This window comes from Homo sapiens, chromosome 2, assembly GCF_000001405.40.
Source record: "Homo sapiens chromosome 2, GRCh38.p14 Primary Assembly".
NCBI classification, from domain to species: Eukaryota; Metazoa; Chordata; class Mammalia; order Primates; family Hominidae; genus Homo; species Homo sapiens.
Window position 1 is genome coordinate 13,071,404 of NC_000002.12, and position 22,403 is coordinate 13,093,806.

General features: G+C 36.8%; 1 long non-coding RNA gene across 3 annotated transcripts in view; it reads left to right on the forward strand.

Moving 5' to 3' along the window:
• Positions 1-22,403, forward strand: part of LOC105373436 (uncharacterized) — a 330,895-nt gene that overhangs the window by 70,615 nt on the left and 237,877 nt on the right. The window lies entirely within an intron of this gene.

Sequence of the window (22,403 nt, forward strand, 5' to 3'; positions counted from 1 at the left end):
CCCCCATTCCCACGTGGCCTAGAATGTTTAATTTGCTATAAGTCTTTTGACTCTAAGTCCTTAGGCCAAAGGAAATACCAAAAAAACTTAGAAAATGAATACAAGCAATGATGGAAAACAAGGAATTATATATATATTTTATATATATACATATACACATATATATTTTATATACACAAATATATATTTTTATATACAAATATATATTTTTATATATACATATATACATATATGTTTTATATATATACATATATATCATATATACATATATTTTATATATACATATATAATATATACGTATATATGATATATACGTATATATTTTTTATATACGTATATATTATATATACATATATTTTATATATACACATATCTTTTATATATACACATATATTTTATATATACACATATATATTATATGTACACATATATTTTATATATACACATATATATTATATATACACTTATATTTTATATATACGTATATATATTTTATATATATACGTATATATGTGTGTGTGTGTATATATATTTACCTAATTCTGCGCCTCCTATGTTGAAATTTAGGCCATGTTCAAAAGGCCTTTCAAAGTGATGAAGAAAGAGTATTGTCCTTTTCCAGAAAGGAAAAAAAAAACTGTGTTGTTAAAACAAAAAACTTAGTCTTACTAAAATCTTAAAAAGAAAGATTTGGGCCGGGCGCGGTGACTCACGCTTGTAATCCCAGCACTTTGGGAGGCCAAGGCGGGCGGATCACCTGAGGTCAGGAGTTCGAGACCAGCCTCAACATGGAGAAACCCCGTCTCTACTAAAAATACAAAAATTAGCCAGGCGTGGTGATGCATGCTTGTAATCCCAGCTATTCGGGAGGCTGCGGCAGGAGAATTGCTTGAACCTGGGAGGCGGAGGTTGTGGTGAGCCAAGATCGCACCATTGCACTCCAGCCTGGGCAACAAGGCAAAACTCTGTCTAAAAAAAAAAAAAAAGAAGAAAGAAAGAAAGAAAGATTTGGCAAGGATCAATTACCGATAAAATGGAAGGGTCCCTTTTAGGTATTGTTAAGTACATCCATTGCTGTTGAACTTCACAGAGTTACTAGATGGTTATACTTGTCCAGATTTAAGTATTTCTTATACGTACCCTGTATTAATTTGTTCTCATGCTTCTCATAAAGACATACCTGAGAATGAGTCACTTATAAAGGAAAGAGGTTTAATTGACTCACAGTTCAGCATAGCTGGAGAGGCCTCAGGAAACTTACAGTCATGGTGGAAGGGGAAGCAAGCACGCCCTCCTTTACATGGTGGCAGGAGAGAGAAAAATGAGAGCCAAGTGAATGGGGAAGCCCCTTATGAAATCATCGGGTCTCGTGAGAACTTATAATCACGGGAACAGGAAGGGAGAAACTGCTTCTGTGATTATATTTTCTCCACCTGGTCCATCCCACAACACATGGGGATTAAGGAAACTATAATTCAAGATGAGATTTGAGTGGGGACACAGCCAAACCAGATCATTCTGCTCCTGGCCCCTCTCAAATCTTATGTCCTTAAAATTTAAAACACAATCATTCCCTTCCAACAGAATTCTTAACTCATTTCAGCATTAACTCAAAAGTCCAAGTCCAAAGTCTCATCTCAGAGAAGGCAAGTCCCTTCCACCTATGAGTCTGTAAAACCAAAAGCAAGTTAGTTACTTCTTAGATACAATGTGGGTACAGGCATTGGGTAAATACGTGGCAGAAGGGAAGCAAACACATTCTTCTTCATATGGCAGCAGGAAGGAGAAGTGCCGCCCCAAACGGGGAAAAGCCCCTTATAAAACCATCAGATCTCTTGAGAACTCACTCACTATCACAAAAACTGTAGCCTGGAGGTAACTGTCCCCATAATTCAATTATGTCCCACAGAGTTCCTCCCACATGTGGAGATTGTGGGAACTATAATTCAAGATGACATTTGGGTAGAGGCCAGCAAAATTATATCATTTTGCCCCAGCCCCTCCCAAATCTCATGTCCTCACATATCAAAACTCAATAATGCCTTCCCAGCATACCCCAATTTCTTAACTCATTTCAGCATTAACCCATAAGTCTAAGTCCAAAGTCTCACCTGAGACAAGGTACGTTACCTCCCCCTATCATCCTGTAAAATCAAAAGCAAGTTAGTTACTTCCTAGTTACAATGGGGGTATAGGTATTGGGTAAATTAATCCATTCCAAATGAGAGAAATTGGCCAAAACAAAGGGCTACAGTCCTCATGCAAGTCCAAAATTCAATAAGGCAGTCATTAAACCTTATTATTCCAAAATGATCTCCTTTAACTTTATGTCTCACATCCAGGTCACACTAATGCAAGAGGTGGGCTCCTACAGCCTTGGGCAGCTCCACCTCTGTGTCTTTTCAGGTTACAGACTTCCTCTCGGCTGCTTTCATGGGCTGGCATTGAGTAATCTGTAACTTTTTCAGGCACACAGCACAAGCTGTCAGTAGATATACCATTTTGGGTTCTGAAGGACGGTGGCCCTCTTCTCACAGCTCTCCTTGGCAGTGTCCCAGTGGAGACTCTGTGTGGGGGATCAAACCCACATTTCCTTTCTGCACTGCCCTAGCAGAGGTTCCCCATGAAGGCTTTACTCCTGCAACACACCTCTGCCTAGACATCCAGGCATGTCCATACATTCTCTTAAATCTAGGCGGAGGTTTCCAAACCTCAATTTTTGTCTTCTGTGCACCTTCAGGACCAATACCACATGGAAGCTGCCAAGACTTGGGGCTTGCACCCTCTGAAGCCATGGTCTGAGCTGTACCTTGTCCCTTTTTAGCCATGGCTGGAGTGGCTGGGACACAGGGCATCAAGTCCTGAGGCTTCACACAGCAGGGGGACACTGGACCCAACCCACTAAACCATTTTTTCCACCTAGGCCTGTGAGGTTATGAAGTGAGGGCCTGCCACAAAGGTCTCTGACATGCCCTGGAGACATTTTCCCCATTGTCCTTGCAACTAGCATTTGGCTCCTTGTTACTTATGCAAATTTATGCTACTGGATTAAATTTCTCCCCAGAAAAATGAGGTTTTCTTTTCTACTGCATTTTCACGATGCAAATTTTTTCAAAATTTTATGCTCTGCTTCCTCTGGAACTCTTTGCTGCTTAGAAATTTCTTCTGCCAGATACCCTAAATCATCCTCTCAAGTTCAAAGTTTCATAAATCTCTAGGGTAGGAGCAAAATTCTGCCAGTCTCTTTGCATATCAAGAGTGACCTTTACTCCAGTTCCCAACAAGTTCCTCATCTCCATCTGAGACTACCTCAGCCTGGCCTTCATTGTACATATCACTATCAACATTTTGGTCAAAGCCATTCAACAAGTGTCTAGGAAGTCTCTAGGAAGTTCAACAGCCTCTGCCTGTTACCCAGTTCCAAAGTTGCTTCCACATTTTCAGGTATCTTTACAGCAGTGCCCACTGCCCAGTACTAATTTACTGTATTACTCCATTCTCACATTGCTAATAAAAACATACCCAAGACTGGGCAATTTGTAAAGGAAAGAGGTTGAATTGACTCACCATTCAGCCTGGCTTGGGAGGCCTCAGGAAACATACAATCATGGTGGAAGTGGAAGCAAACATGTCCTTCTTTACATGGCAGCAGGAAAGAGAAGTGCTGAGCAAAAGGGGAAAAGCCCCTTATACAACCATCAGATCTCATGAGAACTCACTCACTATCACTAGAAAAGCATGGGGGTAACTGCCTCTATGATTTAATTACCTCCCCCAAGGTCCTTTCCATCACAAATGGGGATTGTGGGAACTAGAATTTAAGATGAGATTTGAATGGGGACACAGCCAAACCATATCATCCTCATAGACATAAGGGGAGGACACCATGACCTACACTTGTGAACTGTGAAAGACCTAAAACTATTAATTTACAAACGCATAGATAAATAACATCTATGGGCATGGGAACATTAATTTTTATCTTTCTTCTAATTGTAATTTCCTTGTTTATTTAATCTCTTAGTAAAGTTTACATCTTCTGGTTTCCACATAAAGACAATGCTGGCACAAGGATTCCAGCCTCTTCCGTCTTCTGACCTAGAGAATAAAAATATCCTCCCATTGGGCTCCTTATATCAGGTATCTAGAGACTTTTATTTCTCCAATGCTAGGCAAGGTTTACACCCATAAAATCAGCAGGAAGCCCTTACAAAAGATGGACCTCCATGCTTCTGCAACCCCCTTAAGATTAAGGAGGAATATCTAATCTCTGAGGGGGGGAATGAAGCAGGACTTGTTTTCTGGTCAAAACATTGCTGACGAGAACATGATCTGGTCCAGACAGCATAAAGTAAAAAAAACTAGCAGGAACCAGCAGAAGGTAACAAAAATGATCCCTAGCTGCTCTCATTGCTCATTAGCATAAGACACTTTCACCATCACTACTACAGTTTCTAAACCTCATGGCAGTGACCCAGAGGTTTCCACTCTTTTTCATGGGAATGACCTGGAAGTTACCACCCCTTTCCTAACAAGTTTACAATGACCAGATCCTTAAGTTATATTCAATTTGAAAGTGGGGATAAGTGGTTATAAATACAGGTGACAAGAGCCCATACATAGCTGGCTCTGGGCACATTGCCTATGAGTTCTCCCTGTTCAATAAAAGAGTGCTATCTGACATCACTAGCTGACCCTTGAAATTTTTCCTGGGCAAAGCCAAGAACCTTCCATGCTAAGCCTCAGTTTTGGAGCTGGCCTGTCCTGCATCACTTTTGACTTTGCAGGACATAAGTTTTCTGTTTCAATTAAAACTGGTGCTGTTGCCTGAAATCAGCCATTGACATTACGTAAAAAAATTAGCATTGCTATGTTCCCATTAAGCTTTATCTATGTACACAGAAGTTTGAATTTCACTTTCTTTTTATGTAGCACAAAATATTATTCTTTCTCTCTCTTTTTCATTTTATATCAAGATATATCAATAAAATAAGGTGGAGTTTTAATACGATGTTTCAATTGAGGTATCCACAAGCCACCAAGTTCCACTGTATAAGAAATTACAAAATCAGATCTTAAACATAAGGTAGAAATTGTAAAATACATTTCCATATTATCAATCTTCTCATTAATTATTCAAGTAGAACCTGACTAGGGAAAGAGAGAAAATGTGTACACAGTTTTCTTTGGAGGAAGCTGTTGCCACAGTGTGTGGTGTGAGAGGCTGCCATCTCCTCCTACTCAAGCTTAGGAGGGGCTTTCGAGAGACACTAAGAGACCTGAAAGGTATTTATAAGACATTCTAAATTGGTGCCCAATTAACACCTGAAGTTAGAGCTGCCTGTGGAAGCGGGATAGAGATGACTGTGCTAAGATTCACCACACTTCCAGAACCACAGGCTCCAGGATGCTCATATGTTTCCTGGGCTCATATGTAAGCCAATTGGAATAGAGAGCAGGCATAGAGTCATAATAGGTCCTGCCCAGCCACTGAGGAGGGTTTAGAAAACCTCAAGACAAGAATTTGAGGATGAAAGCCTATGCCAAGGAAGAAGAGGGATCTGAAATAAAGATGTATTTCCTCAGTATAAAGGAAACTGCTGGAGAAAACTAAAAAAAAAAAAGAAAATTTTCAAAGAACCCACAGATTTGCCACACAAATATCAATTCTAATCATGTGTATACCTAGAGCCATCCAGCCAAATAAAACGAGTTCCACTGTATTATTTCCCTTTCTCTACCACGTTACAAATATGCAATACTAAATAACAGCTATGGAGTAGGAGAGACGTTGAGGAGACAGACAGATGGAGAGAGAGAGAGAGAGGAAGAGAGAGAGAGAGAGAGGATCACTTCCTGTGAAGGCAGACTTCAGGCAAGCACAAGCTATAGGTAAAAGGGGGTGGAGTTTTATTCTGAAATTATTATTTGAAGGAAACATTCATTTACTTCAAATATTTGTTAGAAATATTAAAAACTGAGTGGTTTTTTAAACAGGAAAAATGACTATATGATTATGCAGTTACTTAAGGATGAGCTTGAAAAACATGTATGGAATCTGCTTACATTTCTTTTTTGGAAGGAGAAAGATTATCTACATGTAACACAATTTATAGTAACGATGGTAGATAAAATTGTGTTTTGTTATATTGTATGAGTCATATTTGACATAACTATTACAGAAGGCAGGAAGGAAGTATAGGAATGGAAAAATGAGAAGAAGAATGAAAGGAAAGCATACAGAGGAATTTTCTTATTTTTTTTTATTATACATGGATTTACACTGAGGACCAGAGGATTGACTTGTCCAGAGGTTCAGAATGTATCTAAAAGATCTATAGTCTACATTTCTCCATTCAGTTCCATATATATTGTATCCAGGATAGAACACACATCCCCTTATTCCCTTCTCCTATTATATTCCGATTTAGAATAATAATATTTAAAGGAACCTAGAGATAAATGTATGGGAATTTGGACTTTCATTTTTTCTTTCCAATTTGCCCTGTTCCTCATAATTTTAAAACAATTCCAGTTGAAAATTCATCTGGGCGTCAATGAGCTATTAAATACAATCTAACTGTATCAGAAACTAATTATTCCAGCTGGCAACAAACTCAAATGTACCAAATTAATAGCTTGGTTCTTCCCAGGATCTATAGTACATTAGCAACAATGAGCATGATTATAAAAAATGTTGTTTGAGGGTATTGGAAAATTATCCCAATGAACACTGCTGTAATTATAATTATGAATTAAAATAATAGTAGTTCATCTGGGGAGTCAAAAGCTCTTTTCTGGTAATTTTTTATTATTGCAATCTGAGCTTAAAATTTTTCACCCTGAGCTGAAGCAGAGGGAAGAAAGGAACAGTTTATCAATAATAAACTAGGACATAAAATATAAGAATACACAGAGTGGAAGAACCAAATATATAATTACCAATAGATAAATTTAGAGAAAGAGAGAGAGAGAGAAAGGACTCCATAGCTATAATCTATAGATTTAAATCAGCAGTAGATTGAGAAAGAAATCTGATGTGATAAATGAACTAATAGGTCAAAAACTACTGGTCATTCAAATATTATTAAGGCACTATATTATCTTTTGTGCCAAGCTACGATACTATGCAAGTCAACAACAAAAAAAGATATAATGTTTTTACAACTAATCAACCTATAAGGAGAGTTAGAAAATATAAAACTCTATTGTTAAGGTCCTTAAGGAAATATTTGGTTCTGTAGAAAGCAAGTAAAATGCTGTAGGAAATTTCAGGATAATATGAACTAATTAAAGAGATTACAGAAGGTTGGCATAGTCAGAGAGAGCTTTTCAAAGTGTTGTCTAATTTAAAGCACTTTTATAGTACAAGAGCAAAATACTTTGCTCAGTAATTATACTTGGGGATTCTATAGGATCTGACATGGCCACTATTCCATTTTCACCCCTAATCTCATAAGGAGCATGTAGTAAACCCATTGCACTGAATTTCACAAACACTACCCAGCCATTTATGTATGTGCACATATGCACATGCCTGTATGTAATATATATATAATATGATACAAAATGTATTACATATGATATATATGTAGCATATACTGTATTTATTAATATCTATCTATGTGTTGATTAAAATTTCTACAAGTGACTGGATAGGGTGATTGAATCCAAGTAAGTTTTACTAGTATTTTGTGCCTACTGTTGCTACTGATAATTTAACTTACAAATTCTGCTTAACTCATTGTTGGAGCAGCACATAACAGGTTAATTCCCCCATCTTCTCCCCTGGAATTCATCTTAATGCCTAAGTTATCAAAAGATGTTAGATATCTTTTTTTTTTCTGAATCCCTGCTTCTCCTAACCCACATGATATTGGGGTGAGGATAAATGAAAGAGCAGACACAGAAGGGCTTTATTACTTTGACACCTGCTATACACGTGTGCAAAAGAAATAGTGAAGAGCACATGCCAGACTCTGCCCCTCATAATAGCTGAACATTCCTATGTGCCAGGCTTGTTCTCCCACATTAGATGGATTATTTCATTTATTCCTTAAAAGGCTATGGGGTTCTCATGATTATTATGTTCACAGCATAGGAGAAGAAACTAGAGTGTTACAAACACTAAATACAAGAACAAGGATACACAGAAAACAGTGTCAGTGCCAGGCTTTGAGTGAAAGTGATTTGTTTTATGCTATATCCTATGGTGGATACTTTGCAGATGCTGGGGACACAGATGTATGGAAATAGTGTTTCTCCTTTCTTGAGAAGGTCAGAATTTACTAGGGGAGGCAGATATGTAAATAAACAATATAGAATAAACATAGAGTGATAGAAGCCCAGATAAATAAGAATTTAATTCTGGAGCATTCTCAAAAAATATTTTATGGGCAGACAACATTGTTTTGTGTGTGTCTTGGAAGAATCTTACCAAGGTGGAAAAAAAAAGGAAAGCATTTCCCAAAAAGAGAGAAGTAGAGTGAAGTTTCATAGGTAGGGAGGAGCCAGATAAGCCTGTGAGTGGCAAACCTCCAGGCAGGTCAGAAAGAGGAGATGATACAAAGACAGGGTTTCTCTACCTAAATTGTGGAAATTGAGCTTAGGAGAAAAGATTGGACTTTTATTGTGATTGTCGTATTGCTTGCAATACATTTGTAGTACAATGTATTTGCTTCCAGAGGTGTTCAAGTTGGGGTAGTGAAACCAGATCATACTTTCAATGAATGGAGCAAGACGGAATCTTGACATCCTCACCAGCTATGTGAACTTGAGCCCAATGGTTGAGGAAAAAAATTATCAGTGTGCTGTGCATGAATGCTATAGACCAAATGTTTTTCTCTCCTAAATTTATAGGTGGAAATTCTGGTCCCCAATGTGGTGGTAAGAGGAGGTGCGGCCTATGGGAGATGGTTGGGTCACAAAGGTGGAGTTCTCATATTTAAGATTAATGCCTTTATGAAAGGGATCTCAGAAAGCTCCATCTCTGTTTTCCATGACATGAGGACCTAGTGAGAAGATGGTCATCTGAAACCCAGAAAGTGGCCCTCACTTACATCATACCATGCTGGCACCCTCATCTCAGCCTTCCAGATTCTAGATCTTTGGGAAACAAATGTCTGCTCTTCAGTTTATGGCACTTTTTTAATAACAGCCTGAACACACTGAGATAACAAAGTCCCTGGGAAAACTGGCTGAGATATTGTGCATGATGGCATTGGGGGCTAAGTGATAGGAAATAGTAAAAATTGCTCCTAAGTTGCAGCACCAAGGGACCAAAGGAGAACTTGTAACTAAGGCCAAGAGCAGAACTGAGTGTAATCCTGAGGATTTGGTGGCTTCAGCTGTGTAAGGGGCTTCCTGATGTCAGAGTGGTAGGGCGTCATTCTCTCTTAGCAGCCTGGACACGGATTCCTGATTCTCTTTCTTTCACCAAATAGTCTTCCTACAGTAAGCTTCTAGGTGTAGAGAACCTACCAAGATCATACTGTGTCTTCCCTTTCTGGGCTCTAAAAGATACTTAGAGGCGCTTTTTTTTTCTTTCTTTCTTTTTTTATTTTAAAGGTGATGATCACAATGGGAAAAGAGCAGGTTATTAAAAAATGAACTATTTGAGAGAAAATAATTTCTACAGGAGACCATACTCTTTCTGCCAATCCTATGTCCTTCATTCTCAGACAGCTGGATCATTAGATGAGCCCTACTGGTTGACAAGTGTTGGTTTCATGTTAAGCCATTCTTCCAGCCCAAGTAGAGAAATGATTGTCCTCCTCATCCATTCTACTTCTGTTTTTCTGAGTCCCACTTGCTACTAACCAGATGCATGTAAACCTGAACTTCACTTTCTGTGTGGCCTTGCATGACCTCAAGGAAAGGTAAAATTTTGCTCTGTGTGGGCATTCAGTGCTCCTTTATCATAGTATCTCTCCCGTTGTGCTATATTATGAACTCCAGGAACAGACTGGCCAGGTTCAAAGTATTTCCACCACTTGCCACTATGGGAGCCTGGGGTCAATACTCAGCAAACAAGAATTAGAATCAGATAGGTGATGATTGTAGAAATGACAGTTGAGTGATTTCAGTGACTGACTTCTTTGAGGTAAGTTTTCTTACCTGTCAAAGGTGGGCAATATCAAATTATTGCTTAGTGTTTTATTGTAGATTAACTGACTTCAACTTACATAGGACACTAAGCACATGGTGAGAGCTCAATACATATAAGAGATTACTCTGTCTGTATCTGATAAGTCTCTATTGGATTGTGAAGTATCTATCCCTGATACAGTGCTTCGCATAGAAAAGTTGTTAATGCACTTTTTAATTAAATTGCCCCTACTTTCCCATTTTGTATGTTGACCCAACCGTAGATTGGGATCACCAACTGTTTTTTTCCTACTCTGGTCACAGATTCTCACCTGAATCACAGTTCTTTTTAGAGTCCTAATGCCAACTGGGTTTTGCTTGGCTTGTTCTCTCACTCAAAACCTTCATTTCTCCATAGTCCCAGATCCTTTTTTAGATCCATAAAATCAAATAAGCCGTATGCTTTTTTCTATGACAGGATGTGGTTTAAAAAAACAGGTTTCATGAAATGCATATCAGATCACATGATTTCTGTAAGCACTGTGAGGTTTGAGTTTATTTTATGTAAGGTTCTCATTGCTGTTGTCATTTTACACTTTGTCACATTATAAGACAGGGTAGTGTTGCTGGTATTGAGATATCCTTCACTCATCAGAATAGTCAACCTCTTTTTTAAAAAATCTGAAAAAAATTACTAGTTCAGTCACTGAAATCTCTCAGCCATAATTTCTCCAGTCACCACCTGTCTGGTTCTAACTCCTGTTTGCTGACTGGGTCTTTTTGTATCAACACTTCTGGAATTGGAAAGAGGTATTTATTGCTTCTCAGTCACTTAGGCAAGAGCTTGATTTTGAGCCCACGTTTGCAGTAGACATAGTTCTTCCGATCCTAGCGTACTTCTGGCTAACTTCTCCTTCTTGGTAGCCCCATGTTGCTGGTAACCCAAATGTTGTCCATGCAGAGTAGCTGGACAGAGGTTCAAACTGAAGCTGCTTCCAAGATGATGTTAAGAATTCAGCAGCAACATTTTATGTAGTTCTCAAGTAGACTTGTGTGGATGTGCCCCAGGGCCTCTAAAGTGTGAAAGGAAAATAAAAACCTGGGGTGCCAATTCACTATGCCAAAAGAAAAAAAATTAAGTTGAAAGCTGAATCATGCAAGAAACTGCCTTTTCTTGTACCTGAGCAGATGGCTACAGATAAAGCTACAGATAAAACAGATAGCTACAGATAAAGGCTAAATATCTCCGTAGGTGAACATAGGTTCACCTTATCTTGTATAAAGTGCCAATTTACTGAGCATAAATACATAATTGACTATCCCTCTACCTGCTCCTCTTCTCTTGCAAATTGTGGATCACTATTCCCTCCTTCTTTCCTCTTTAAATTTTGAGGCCCTTGAAATCGTATCTGGAAAAACGCTCAGACCACAGACTGTTTTGCTGATTCCATGTTCATTTTTTTCAGGTATGAGATTAGCTTTGGTAAAATACATTTCGATATGGATTGAGACCTGTCTCTAATACTTTTTGGTTTACAAATTGGTGACCAATGGAAGGGACTCTGAGTGGAAGTGGCCCTGACGTTTGACAAATCTCCTGTTGGTGTTTGGTACCAGCTTGGGCTATCTTCATTCCTCAAATCTATACAATAATTCACTGAGGTCCAGAAGCTCACACCTCCAGAAAAATCCTTGATCTCTCAAAATTTCGTTATGATCTAAGGTTTATGTTGCTGTGTAACTCCTTTTCTGGAGTTGTACTCGTTTCTGACAAAGAAGGCTGATTTTCCTGCTTCCATGGCAATGGAAATGCTTTGTCTTGGAAATGCTCCTTAATGACTGAATGGTAAGATTAGTATCTATCTGGTCTTAATTTCTCTTTATCATTTGAGTACTCTGTAATTCTTTTGCTTGGTTTTGTATTGCTAGTGTTTCAGTCTTTCTCCCATCAGATTTCACCAACTCTACCTGACTTGGTCACATCTGAATGAGAATTCCAAATTATGGGGAACAAGGTCTCTGAATCGGTTAAAATTCCTCTCAGCTGCAAAGAAGAAGAAGAAGATGAAGAGGAAGAAGAAGAAGAAGAGGAAGAGGAAGAAGAGGAAGAGGAAGAGGAGGAAGAGGAAGAGGAGGAAGAAGAAGAAGAAGAAGAAGAAGAAGAAGAAGAAGAAGAAGAAGAAGAAGAAAAGACCTATGCCCTTGGCCTACTTTCTTCCTTAAAAATTATTCTTTCATTCACTGTTCTTCCACCTTATGCCTCCTTCCCCTTTTGCCATCTTTGGTACCAAGTAAAAAAGCTTTTAATGACTTGGACCCCTTAAAAAACTCAGAAGAAAGGTACCACTTGCTCATTTTTGGAGTGATCTGCTTTCTTTGTGGAGTTTCAGGAGGCATGGGCAGATTCTTCTTAGTTCTAAAGCTCTTCTTTCTTGTTTTGCATCACCTGACTTCCTTGGCTTTGCGGGTACCAGATATTTCCTTGTACTGTGAGAGGATTTAACCTTAGCGTGTGTAATGGCAGACAAGGGCTACAATTTTAGGGGTGGCTGAGGACAGTTTATAGGAAATAGTAATTACTACAGAAGGCTACTTGTTTCTTTGGGCATTTAAATAAGAAAATAGTGTATGCTTTCCTGGCCGTGTTCCTTAAAGGGCTGCACCCTAAAGTGAGTAATCTAATCAAGCTGTATTGGAAATACCACCTATCAAACTAAGTCACTTAAATAAAACTCTTTGTAAAGGAAATTTACATCTTTAAAGGAAATCTCCATTTTGTAAAGGCATGCCTGTCTCTGCACCTAATCACTAGAAACTTTAACTGGGTAGAAGTCAGTGGTTTAAAGTTTACATAACAGACTATGCCTTTGTTTAGATCTAAATCTGTACCATAGAGATGTACATTTTCTACCTTACTTCAACTGAGTCATATTTTTGGAGACGCAAATGTAGAGTTGCCTAATTAACAATTGTTCAGGATATGGAACAGATAACCAAGAGATTAATAGTCTAAAGTAAGGAAGAGAAAATATTTGAAAATTGGCAAAGAAAAAATTTTAAATATGTAAGAGCTGCCTCTGTCTTATTCTGTTCTGTGTATATGTTTACATGTCTCATATGGAAATAATATTTCTCTACCAGTTCTACGAAAGAGCTCTAACTAGTTAGCTTAAAGAAAAGTAAGCCTTTATCAGACTAATAGAAGCTGGCTCAGAGGCCTTTCAATTCATATAACATAACATTAGTAATCTTTGGTATGATTAATTTGATAAATTTAGTCTCAAAAATCTTTCCAGCAATCTAAAATCTTAAAATAATGTTATGTTAAATTAAGTAATCCTAGGTTTTTCACTGGCAATTGGCATCACTAAGAGAATAGTAGGAGTGTAAGATGTCTTTTTAGTGAAGTTTATACAAAACATAAAGAAGTAGTATTTCATTATACATTATTTTTCCTAGTTTAGAGGACCTTTCTACTGGTGTTGAGTTAAAACCCACTGTTTGCATCCAACCATTTTCTTATAAACTGGTGAGTTTGTGTTAATGCCTCATGGCTAGAGTTCCAAAGCAAAAGCTATGGGATCTTTATTTGTATGAGTGTGTATGTGTGCTTAGTTGTGTTTATATGCATGTACATGTGTTTTGTTATTTGTTGTGGCACAAGGTACCAAATTGGCTTAAAAATAAAGGGGTACTCATAAATTAAGTAAATATGCTCAAATGCTTTTTAAATTCATGTGACTTAAGTAAAATTTTAATAAATAAGCTGGTTTTAAAAGTATCGGTAAAATAAAGTTATAAGTGTCTTCAGAATTTTCAACATACATTATTGTTTAGATTTATTGCTCAAAAAATTTTATATTTATCTCTACATTTGTGAGATATGAGACAGCTATTAAAACTACTCAACACCTCTAATTTCAGGAACTATCACAGAAGAGGTGGGAGTGAGAGATTGTAAGGGCCAATACTGAGAGATAAAATTAGTTCAGAGTTTCTCTATAAATTAAACATTAATACCAAGGGCACACTGATGCAAGACCAGCATCTGAGCCCCTGTGTCAGATTAATAAGGTTTTCTTGGAGAATCAACCACTCTTTAATTTAAAAAATAATTGTAAGAGTTTATTAAAAGGTTTACAGAAATTTTATCTTGTGGCCAAAATAATTAAAATTTAATAGATTTGTTTATAAAATTTGAGAGACAGATAAATTGGCCTTATGCTGTCTTTCTTAGGACTTACTATTTAGGAAAGTAAGTTTCCTCTATCAAAAAACAAAAGTTTTTGGCTTTTTTAAATCTTTGAGTCATCACTTTGGCTAAATGAATGACTTATTTTACAGTGACCTGTGATCCTGTTTTGGGATATCAAGTGTTTTAAACTTATAATATTTGACAAACTTTCCAAAATCAGATTCCAAATTCAATCTTTTTGACTTCATTAATTTTTTGATATTATGTCCCCTTAAGTTCAAATGAGACATATTTGGCTTATTTGGTCTAATAAAATCATACAGGAGGCATTGTCAAGTATGAAATTGTGTTTAACCTTCTTTGGACTATATATAACTGTGTTACTAATATGTGTTCCAAAATTTTATGAGATTTCTGTGATTCTAATATATCTTAGTATATGCCACCAATAGTAATTATGACTATATTATGGTTATTATGTAAAATTGTTGAATGCAAAAGAAATAACCTAATTTCCATGTCAGTTGTGTCTTTAACCATGGCTGTTCTAAGATTTTTGTCATCCACAATTGTTATTTTACTTTGATCCTTTTGTAGGGCAGTTTATAATCAGCTACAGAATTCTGAGGAGTATTCTTAACTATAGATTTCTGATCAATTTAGGGATGTGCCATTGGAACAGAGACAGGAACTTTCAAGACTCTTATGGGGAGCTGACATATTCATAAGGTTTGCTGACTCAATATCAAGCAGAACAGGAGTTAATTGCATGAACTGAACTAATAGAAGTGAAAAATAATCTTTTATGACTTTTTGTTTAAAACATTTGCTGATTCTTTTGTTTAGTTTTTCAATCAAGAAAACTTTCTCTTTTAAGCCATTTACAACTTTTAACAATTGATTAAAGTATACTCTTATGAGCAAAATTTGAAAATACCTCCTTTATCTCAAGTAAATTTCTCCAAAATTTGAAAGTATTTTGTGAATATTCTTAGTTTATGACAAGTTATTTATTTTCATAAGTTAAATAAGAATCTGTTTTCATTTATAACAGGGCATAATTGGAGACACTGGTTATTTCACTAAGACTTTGATTGGAAAGACATTTTCAAAAGATTGCCTTGAGAAAATGAGGCTGACCTATAGAGCTGATTAAAGTCCCTTGGAAAAACTGGCCCTATACCTTGTCCTTTACAGGGTCCTGACCTGTGGTAATAAAGAATGTCACTTTCTGACAGTCCCAGGAAGCCTAAGTTTTCTTGGACCTTGAAAAGAGATGAATTCACTCAATTCACACAATTATCTGCAGGCACAGATAAATCCTTAGCTGTGCTAATGGCTTTTAAAAAGTACTAGTCTTAGATTCCTTGTGTAACAGATTCCTGCAAAGCCAATTTAAAGAGAGAGAGAGAGAGAGACTATATGGCAAATGATTATTTTTGGTTTATGCAAATAATCAAGCCAAGGACTAAAACTTATTTTACAAATAAATTGGCCCTAATATGACTTTGTCTTTAATAAAATTGGAGAATCGGAGAAAGAAAAAATTGTGTTTCACAATAAATTGTAGAACACCTGTTATTACATTGTAGCCTTGCCTAATTTTTTTTCTTCAATTTTAACTATTTTCTACAATTTGAACTGAACTCTGAATTTTTTCCTGGCTACAAGTCTCAGATAATATATTGATTATTTTCTTCTTTCTTTTTCTCATTTTCCCTGATTTGAAATCACTAAAAGTAAGCCATACTTTTCTTAAAGTCTTGCAAACTGAAGCTAGACAACTTAGGCTTTGGAAGAAAATAATAGCAACTTATTTATATACGTAAATCATTTTCATACCTGCCTACTGATATATGAACTTCAGAGTCCTGTGGCCTATCTCAGTTTTCCAGGATTGTTCTCCCTTTGTGCTTATTGTTTTCTTTCTCTTTCCTTCCACTTTTTTTTTCTTTTTGGGATGTGAGGCTTCACAACCTACTAAAAATGAGCTTTCCGAACAACGTGAGACCTCTCTGTCTAGGAATAAACCATCCTAGCCATGAGAAATCAGACCAAACCCGAGACCAGAGACTTGTTTTCTTCTAAAACGCTTTCTCTGAAAGACTTTGGAAAGAAAAGGGGTGAAATGCGAAAGGAAAATACAAAGTCAAGACCCCAATTTACTATGTCAAAAGGAAAAAATAAATAAACTGAAAACAGAGTCATGCAAGAAGCTGCCTTCCTTTTTGTTCCTAAGCAGGTAGCTACAGATAAAAGGTTAAATGTCTTTACAGGTAGCTACTCAAGTTTACCTTATCTTCTGTAAAGTGTTGATTTACTGAGTGTAACACAAACATGTACTCAGCTCTTCCCCTGCCTACTCCCTTTCTCTTGCAACATGTGAATTACATACCCTTCCTCTTTCTTTCAGTCCATGTTTCCCCCTTAAATATCAAACCCTGCAAAGTCATCTTTGGAGAAAGGCACAGATCTGTGATTCCGTGTTTATTTCTCCCAGGTGTGTGCTTAACCTTGGCAAAATAAACTTCTAAATTGATTGAGACTTGTCTCAGATACATTTTGGTTTACAAAAGAGACTAGAGCTAGTGTATACTTGGATGCTTTGTTACAGTCCCCTTATGTTTGTCTTCCCCTAAGAAGTTTTAGTAGTATTTCCAGAAACAATGTATGCAATGTATGTGTTTCTTTTGCTTCCTTCTTTTATTCTGTCATAAATATATGTGGCTTCTTTATGCAAATCATTTTTTTCTCAGCAATATAATTTTTTAAATCATTATTTGTACTTTTCATATGTTCAGTTATGTGAGACATAGAAAGTAAAACCTAATAATGCCAAACAGAAGTGTTATTTGCCAAAGAGAAACAGGATTACGCTGCTCACTACAGAGCAGCCTGTGGAAAGAAGCAAAAGGTGCTTATTAAATAATAATGCAAAGAGTTGGCTAAAACACGCATGCATTTGTCGGTAAATGAAGATATTAAAGGTTATGATAAATAGCCATTTGTTTGTATAGAATTATTCATGTGCAGAGAAGAAATACAATAAACATAGAGTGACAAACAGAGAGTTAAAGATGTCAGCATGGTTTAGCCAATGAAGATAAAATTCAGTGATTTCACGTTGTGGTGAGCATCAGTAGATTGGAACATCCACATAATTTAAATTGGTTTCTGGCAGAAGCGAAAAACAAAATGTTTACTGCCAAGCAGTGTTTGTTGCGAAGGACAGAGTATGTTCCTAAAATCCACCATGTACTGTTTCCTCATGTGTCATTGGATATAGTGACCTGTAGCTCCAAGTCCTGCTCTGCGGATTAAATGAGAAACAGGTATGCCATGTGTTTAGGACATAGGAAGTGCCCTCTAGGTGTTAATTTTCTCCACATCATCATGCCAGAATTGATTTTTGGTTACAATAAGGCTGACCAACCCTCTCAAAATATGTTTGAGTCAGTGTAGTATAGTGGAAAGAATGCTTGATTCTATCACCTACTGTGTGACTGGCTGAGTGATCTTTGACATGTTTTATAAAGCCTCTCTTACTTTTAGTTTCTTCATCTTTACATGGAGATTAGATACTTACTCTGACTTGCCATGAGAATTAACATTTAGGTAAATGAGACACCTGGTAGAGTATCTGGAACTTGGTGGCAGCATTTTTTTATTGTTATGTTTATTGTGTTTACTATTTTTTTTCTCAAAATTGAAGATACTCCTTTTCACAGAACACATTCTGAGTACCAATGTTTTCTACACCCTAGAATGTTTGTAAAGCTAAAATAATATACAAAAACTACTAAACCATAAAAAACGTTATGCCTGACTTGTAAGACAAAGATTTATATGTCACTCCAAGGTTCCCTCTTTCTTTGTGCTCAGGAAGTAACTAGCTATCCTTTGGCAGAAACCACTCCTTCCCCAAATTCCATGACTCCCAAACCCTAATAGTTTTTATTACTGGCCCGTGTTAAAAACGCTTAAACTTTTTTTTTTTTTTTTCAAAATCTGCTCTGCAGTGGGAAGTCATATCTTCTTCTTCACCAGAAGAAATTTAAGTGAGATGGATAATAGACAATAGACCTAATGGTGCCATACATCCCCAGTTCTGTTGAGACATTCTGGAGCCCTGCTCCTCATCTTTTGTCTTCAAAGTGCCCTACTTTTGTAGAGATGTGATGTTGTGCCCCACAAATATACAACACTGCAAACTTCAGCTCCACTACTAAGAATCCCATCTGAAGTTACGATGAACCTGATGCATTCACAGGCATATGTGTGCTCATTTGTGTTCTCTTTATTCAATATAGTTCTCCACTCAATGTCTTTCTTGGCCTGTTTAATCTCTGCACTGCCCTCTATTCATAGTCAAGCATTTTTCCCACTTCAATGCACTCCAATAATAATTACTTGCCATAGTGCATTCACTTTATAGAGTACATTCACATCTATGAATACATCTGGTCTTCACAGCAGCCTGTGAGTTTGGCAGAGTAAAAGTCATTTTCTCCTTTCTTGGAAGGAGAAACTGAATCTCAGTGATGTCAGATACTTGTTTTTCAAGGTTAAACAGCTATTAGATGTTTGGGTTAGATTTTAAGCATAGGTCTTGCCTGCATCTTTATTCTAAAATATATAGTTTTAAAAATTTCCCTTATTTCTACTATTTGAGGAAATTTATTCACTATAATTTTTCTCCAGAGCTGAAATATTGGTTTTGGTTTATACATTTAATAACTTACTTTATATTATGTGTAACTTAGGGTTTCATTCACTCATAGGTTCAATCAGTCATCCATTCTTTTGCTACATATTTATCAAGTACATAGAGAGGGCTGGTAGAAAATCAGTCACAAAAGACCTTAACAACCCTCAAGTGAGAAACATTACAAAGTCACCATGAGAATTAGGATTACATATAAAATAACCAATCATCAATCTAACTATAGTTTCAAATATTGATATACAATGTGGGAGCTGTTAAATTTAGAATTCTCGTGCACAAGAGATTTCTTCTACCCATTTATTTATTTGCTTGTTTACTTAATATGAACTCATGGATATTTATTTTATACTTTGGGTAATAATCCATCACTTGTTCATTTATTTTATTCTGCAGGGTTTTCAACTTTGTCCTTTGGGAGCTTTTTCAGTTGGCTTCTGTGTCCCTTTGACATACATCCTTGTGGATTTTTTTTGTGAGCACCTTTTTTTCTTTTCACTTCTGTCACTACAAAATTTTCCAGGTTCATCTTGTAAATTTCTTGCCCAGTGCTAAACTCAGTCATTTCTCCAAAGAACCCTGGTTCAATTTGTTGAAGAATAGTATTAGAAACCAGGATCTTGCTCTGAGGTATGCTTATTGTGATTGAGGTGTCATTGCTTTTAGACACTCACCACTGACACAAATAGGAAATATATGTGTGTATACTAACCTGTGTATATTCACACATATCTTTAAATATTTCTTCACCTAACCATCTGTATCTCTATTAAGCTAAACATAATGTTTGACTCCAGCACACTGTTTAATTTGAATCATATAGTAGGTAGCTTCTTTCATACAGACTTGCTTCTTTCATTCACTTAACAACATACATTTAAGATTTGTCCATGTCTTCTTGTGCCTTATTGCACATTTCTTTTTATTATGTGCAGGGTTTTGTGTGAACAAAACTTTTCAAATCAATTGAGTAGTTGTATTAGCTTCCTAGTTCTGCTGTAACAGATGACCACAAATTGCAGTGCCTTAAAACAAGCAAGTTTATTCTCTTGTAGTTCTGGAGGCTAAGTCCAGAATTAGGGTGCTGGCAGGTTTGGTTCCTATTGGACAGCCTGATGGAGGACCTGTCCTGTGCTTCCCTCCAACCATCTCGTGGTTGTTCTCACTCCTTGACATTCCTTGGCTTACAAACTCATCACTCCAACCTCTGCCTCTGTCTTGATGTTCTGTCCTGTGTCTCTCTTCTCCTCTTCATGTAAGTGCTGAGTCATATGGAATTCAAGACCCATCATACTGCAGTATGAGCTCATTTTAACTAATTGCATTTGCAATGACCCCATTTCCAAATAAAGTCACATTCTAAGGTTTTGGGAAGGACATAAGTTTTGGGGAGACACTTTTCAACTCAGTACAGTAGTTATGCTTTTTTTTTAACACCATAAAATGTAGTCAACATACTTATACACTACACAACACAGATGTGGTAAGACTCTGACAGTCACACAGAATTTTTCTTCAGGAGGGAACTGTCAAAACAAAACAAAAAATGTGGTTTTTTAGAATAACAGTTTGTGTTCTGCTCTAGTTGGATAAATTTATATTTCTCTTTAGTCTCCTTAGTGAATCCGCAGTTGTTCTGTATCCAGCCTGCACACTTACTATTTATGTAATCTTGAGTGAATGACTTAAATTCCTCTTTGTATTCATATTTTCTCATCTCTAAAGTGGAATTACTAATGATAGCCTCTTTCTGTAGAAGAAATCAAGACGTTGTGGGCTGGATGCCCTAACAGAAACAAAACTATTGGAAATGGAAACAAAGATAGGGAAAAGTAAACATTTTCTCAGTTGATGAAGAACACAATGTTTTCATTTGATTGTAGATATAAAAAGGGAATACCCCCACCCCCAGCTGATGTGCTGGCTCCTGCATACAGTGGGCTTTGATGAGTCTGGGGAGCTGACTGTTGTTAGCTCCTGTCTTACTCCCTTTGGGTTGTTGTAGCAAAGTACCAGAGAGTAGGTGGTTTGTAGAGAACAAAAATTTACTCCTCACAGCTCTCAAAGCTGCAAGTCTGAGTTAAGGGTGCAAGCATGGCCGCGTTCTCGTGAGGGTCCTCTTCTGGGCTGCAGGTGGCCAACTTCATACTGTATCTTCACATAGGGAAAGAGGGTGAGCTAGCTCTCTGGCCTCATTTTATAAGGGCACTTATTCCATTCATGGGGACCCCCCTCACGGCCTTGTTGCTCCCGAAGACCTAACCTCCTAATATCGTTCTATTGGGGTAGGCTACATTTCAACATATGAATTTTGGACACAAACCTTCAGTTTGTAACAGCTCGCTTATCACGTGTAGTCAGCTGCTACTGGATATTGTTGGGAAAAGTGCAGTAGGCCACGTTCAAGGGTATCATTTTATCTGGGACACCACTGTAGTTAAAAAAAAATCTCATAAACATTTCGTTTAGAAATAAAGATCATAAAAATTTCATCCTTTAGACATTCTGTCGGAAAAGCCTTCCATAAATCATCTATATGAGAAAGTTGCTGTGAGGCTTAAATGAAATCATGCATAAAAAGCATTGAGATTATTTTTTGACACACAGTAATAGCATACATTGGAATTTGTATTTCTTAAATTAGATCTTTGTATCTATAGATAGAAAAAAATCTCTGTTTATGTTTTTGTTCAAAGTTTTATTTAAGTTAAAAAATCATTATGAAAAGGATTGCCTTCTACTGCATGTACTGCAGAATGCCTGTGTCCTGTCACTACCCTGGGAATTATGCCATGCTGAATTTGCCCTTTTGAGGGGAAAAGTAACTTCTAGATTGTGCTGATATGAAAATATATCTATTTGTCTCTTCCTCTCCCAGCACTTTTGGACAAGAGCATAGTATTATGATTCTTTTATACACTCCTCCTTAATAAAGCAATTTTGGTTTGTTTTTCTTTTAACAGTTTCCTTATGATATAGGTACCATGCCAGGAACAAGAGAATGGGGGAAGGTTAGAGGAAGAGAGAAACAGAAGTGAACTAGATAAAAACTCTACCCTCAAAGTGGATGTTTATTTATGCATTCTTCCCATATGTACTTATTGGACTTGATGATGTGCCTGAAACACTGAAAGTCCCTGTCTATGCAATGGTTACATTCTATCATAAAAAAAAAATCAGATATAAACCACACAAGCTGACGTCTCTAATGGATCTAAGTGAAATACAATTTTGATTCTGGACTCTGAAGTTAGATGTGAATAAACAATACAATTTCCTTAGTGGAACCAGTGGAACTACACAAGGGACTCTCTCATTAATCTATTCTTTGTAGTTCATATGGAAAGCTAACTTGGGAAGGAACATTTTTGCCTCTCTCTTTTGGCCCAGCAAATGGAA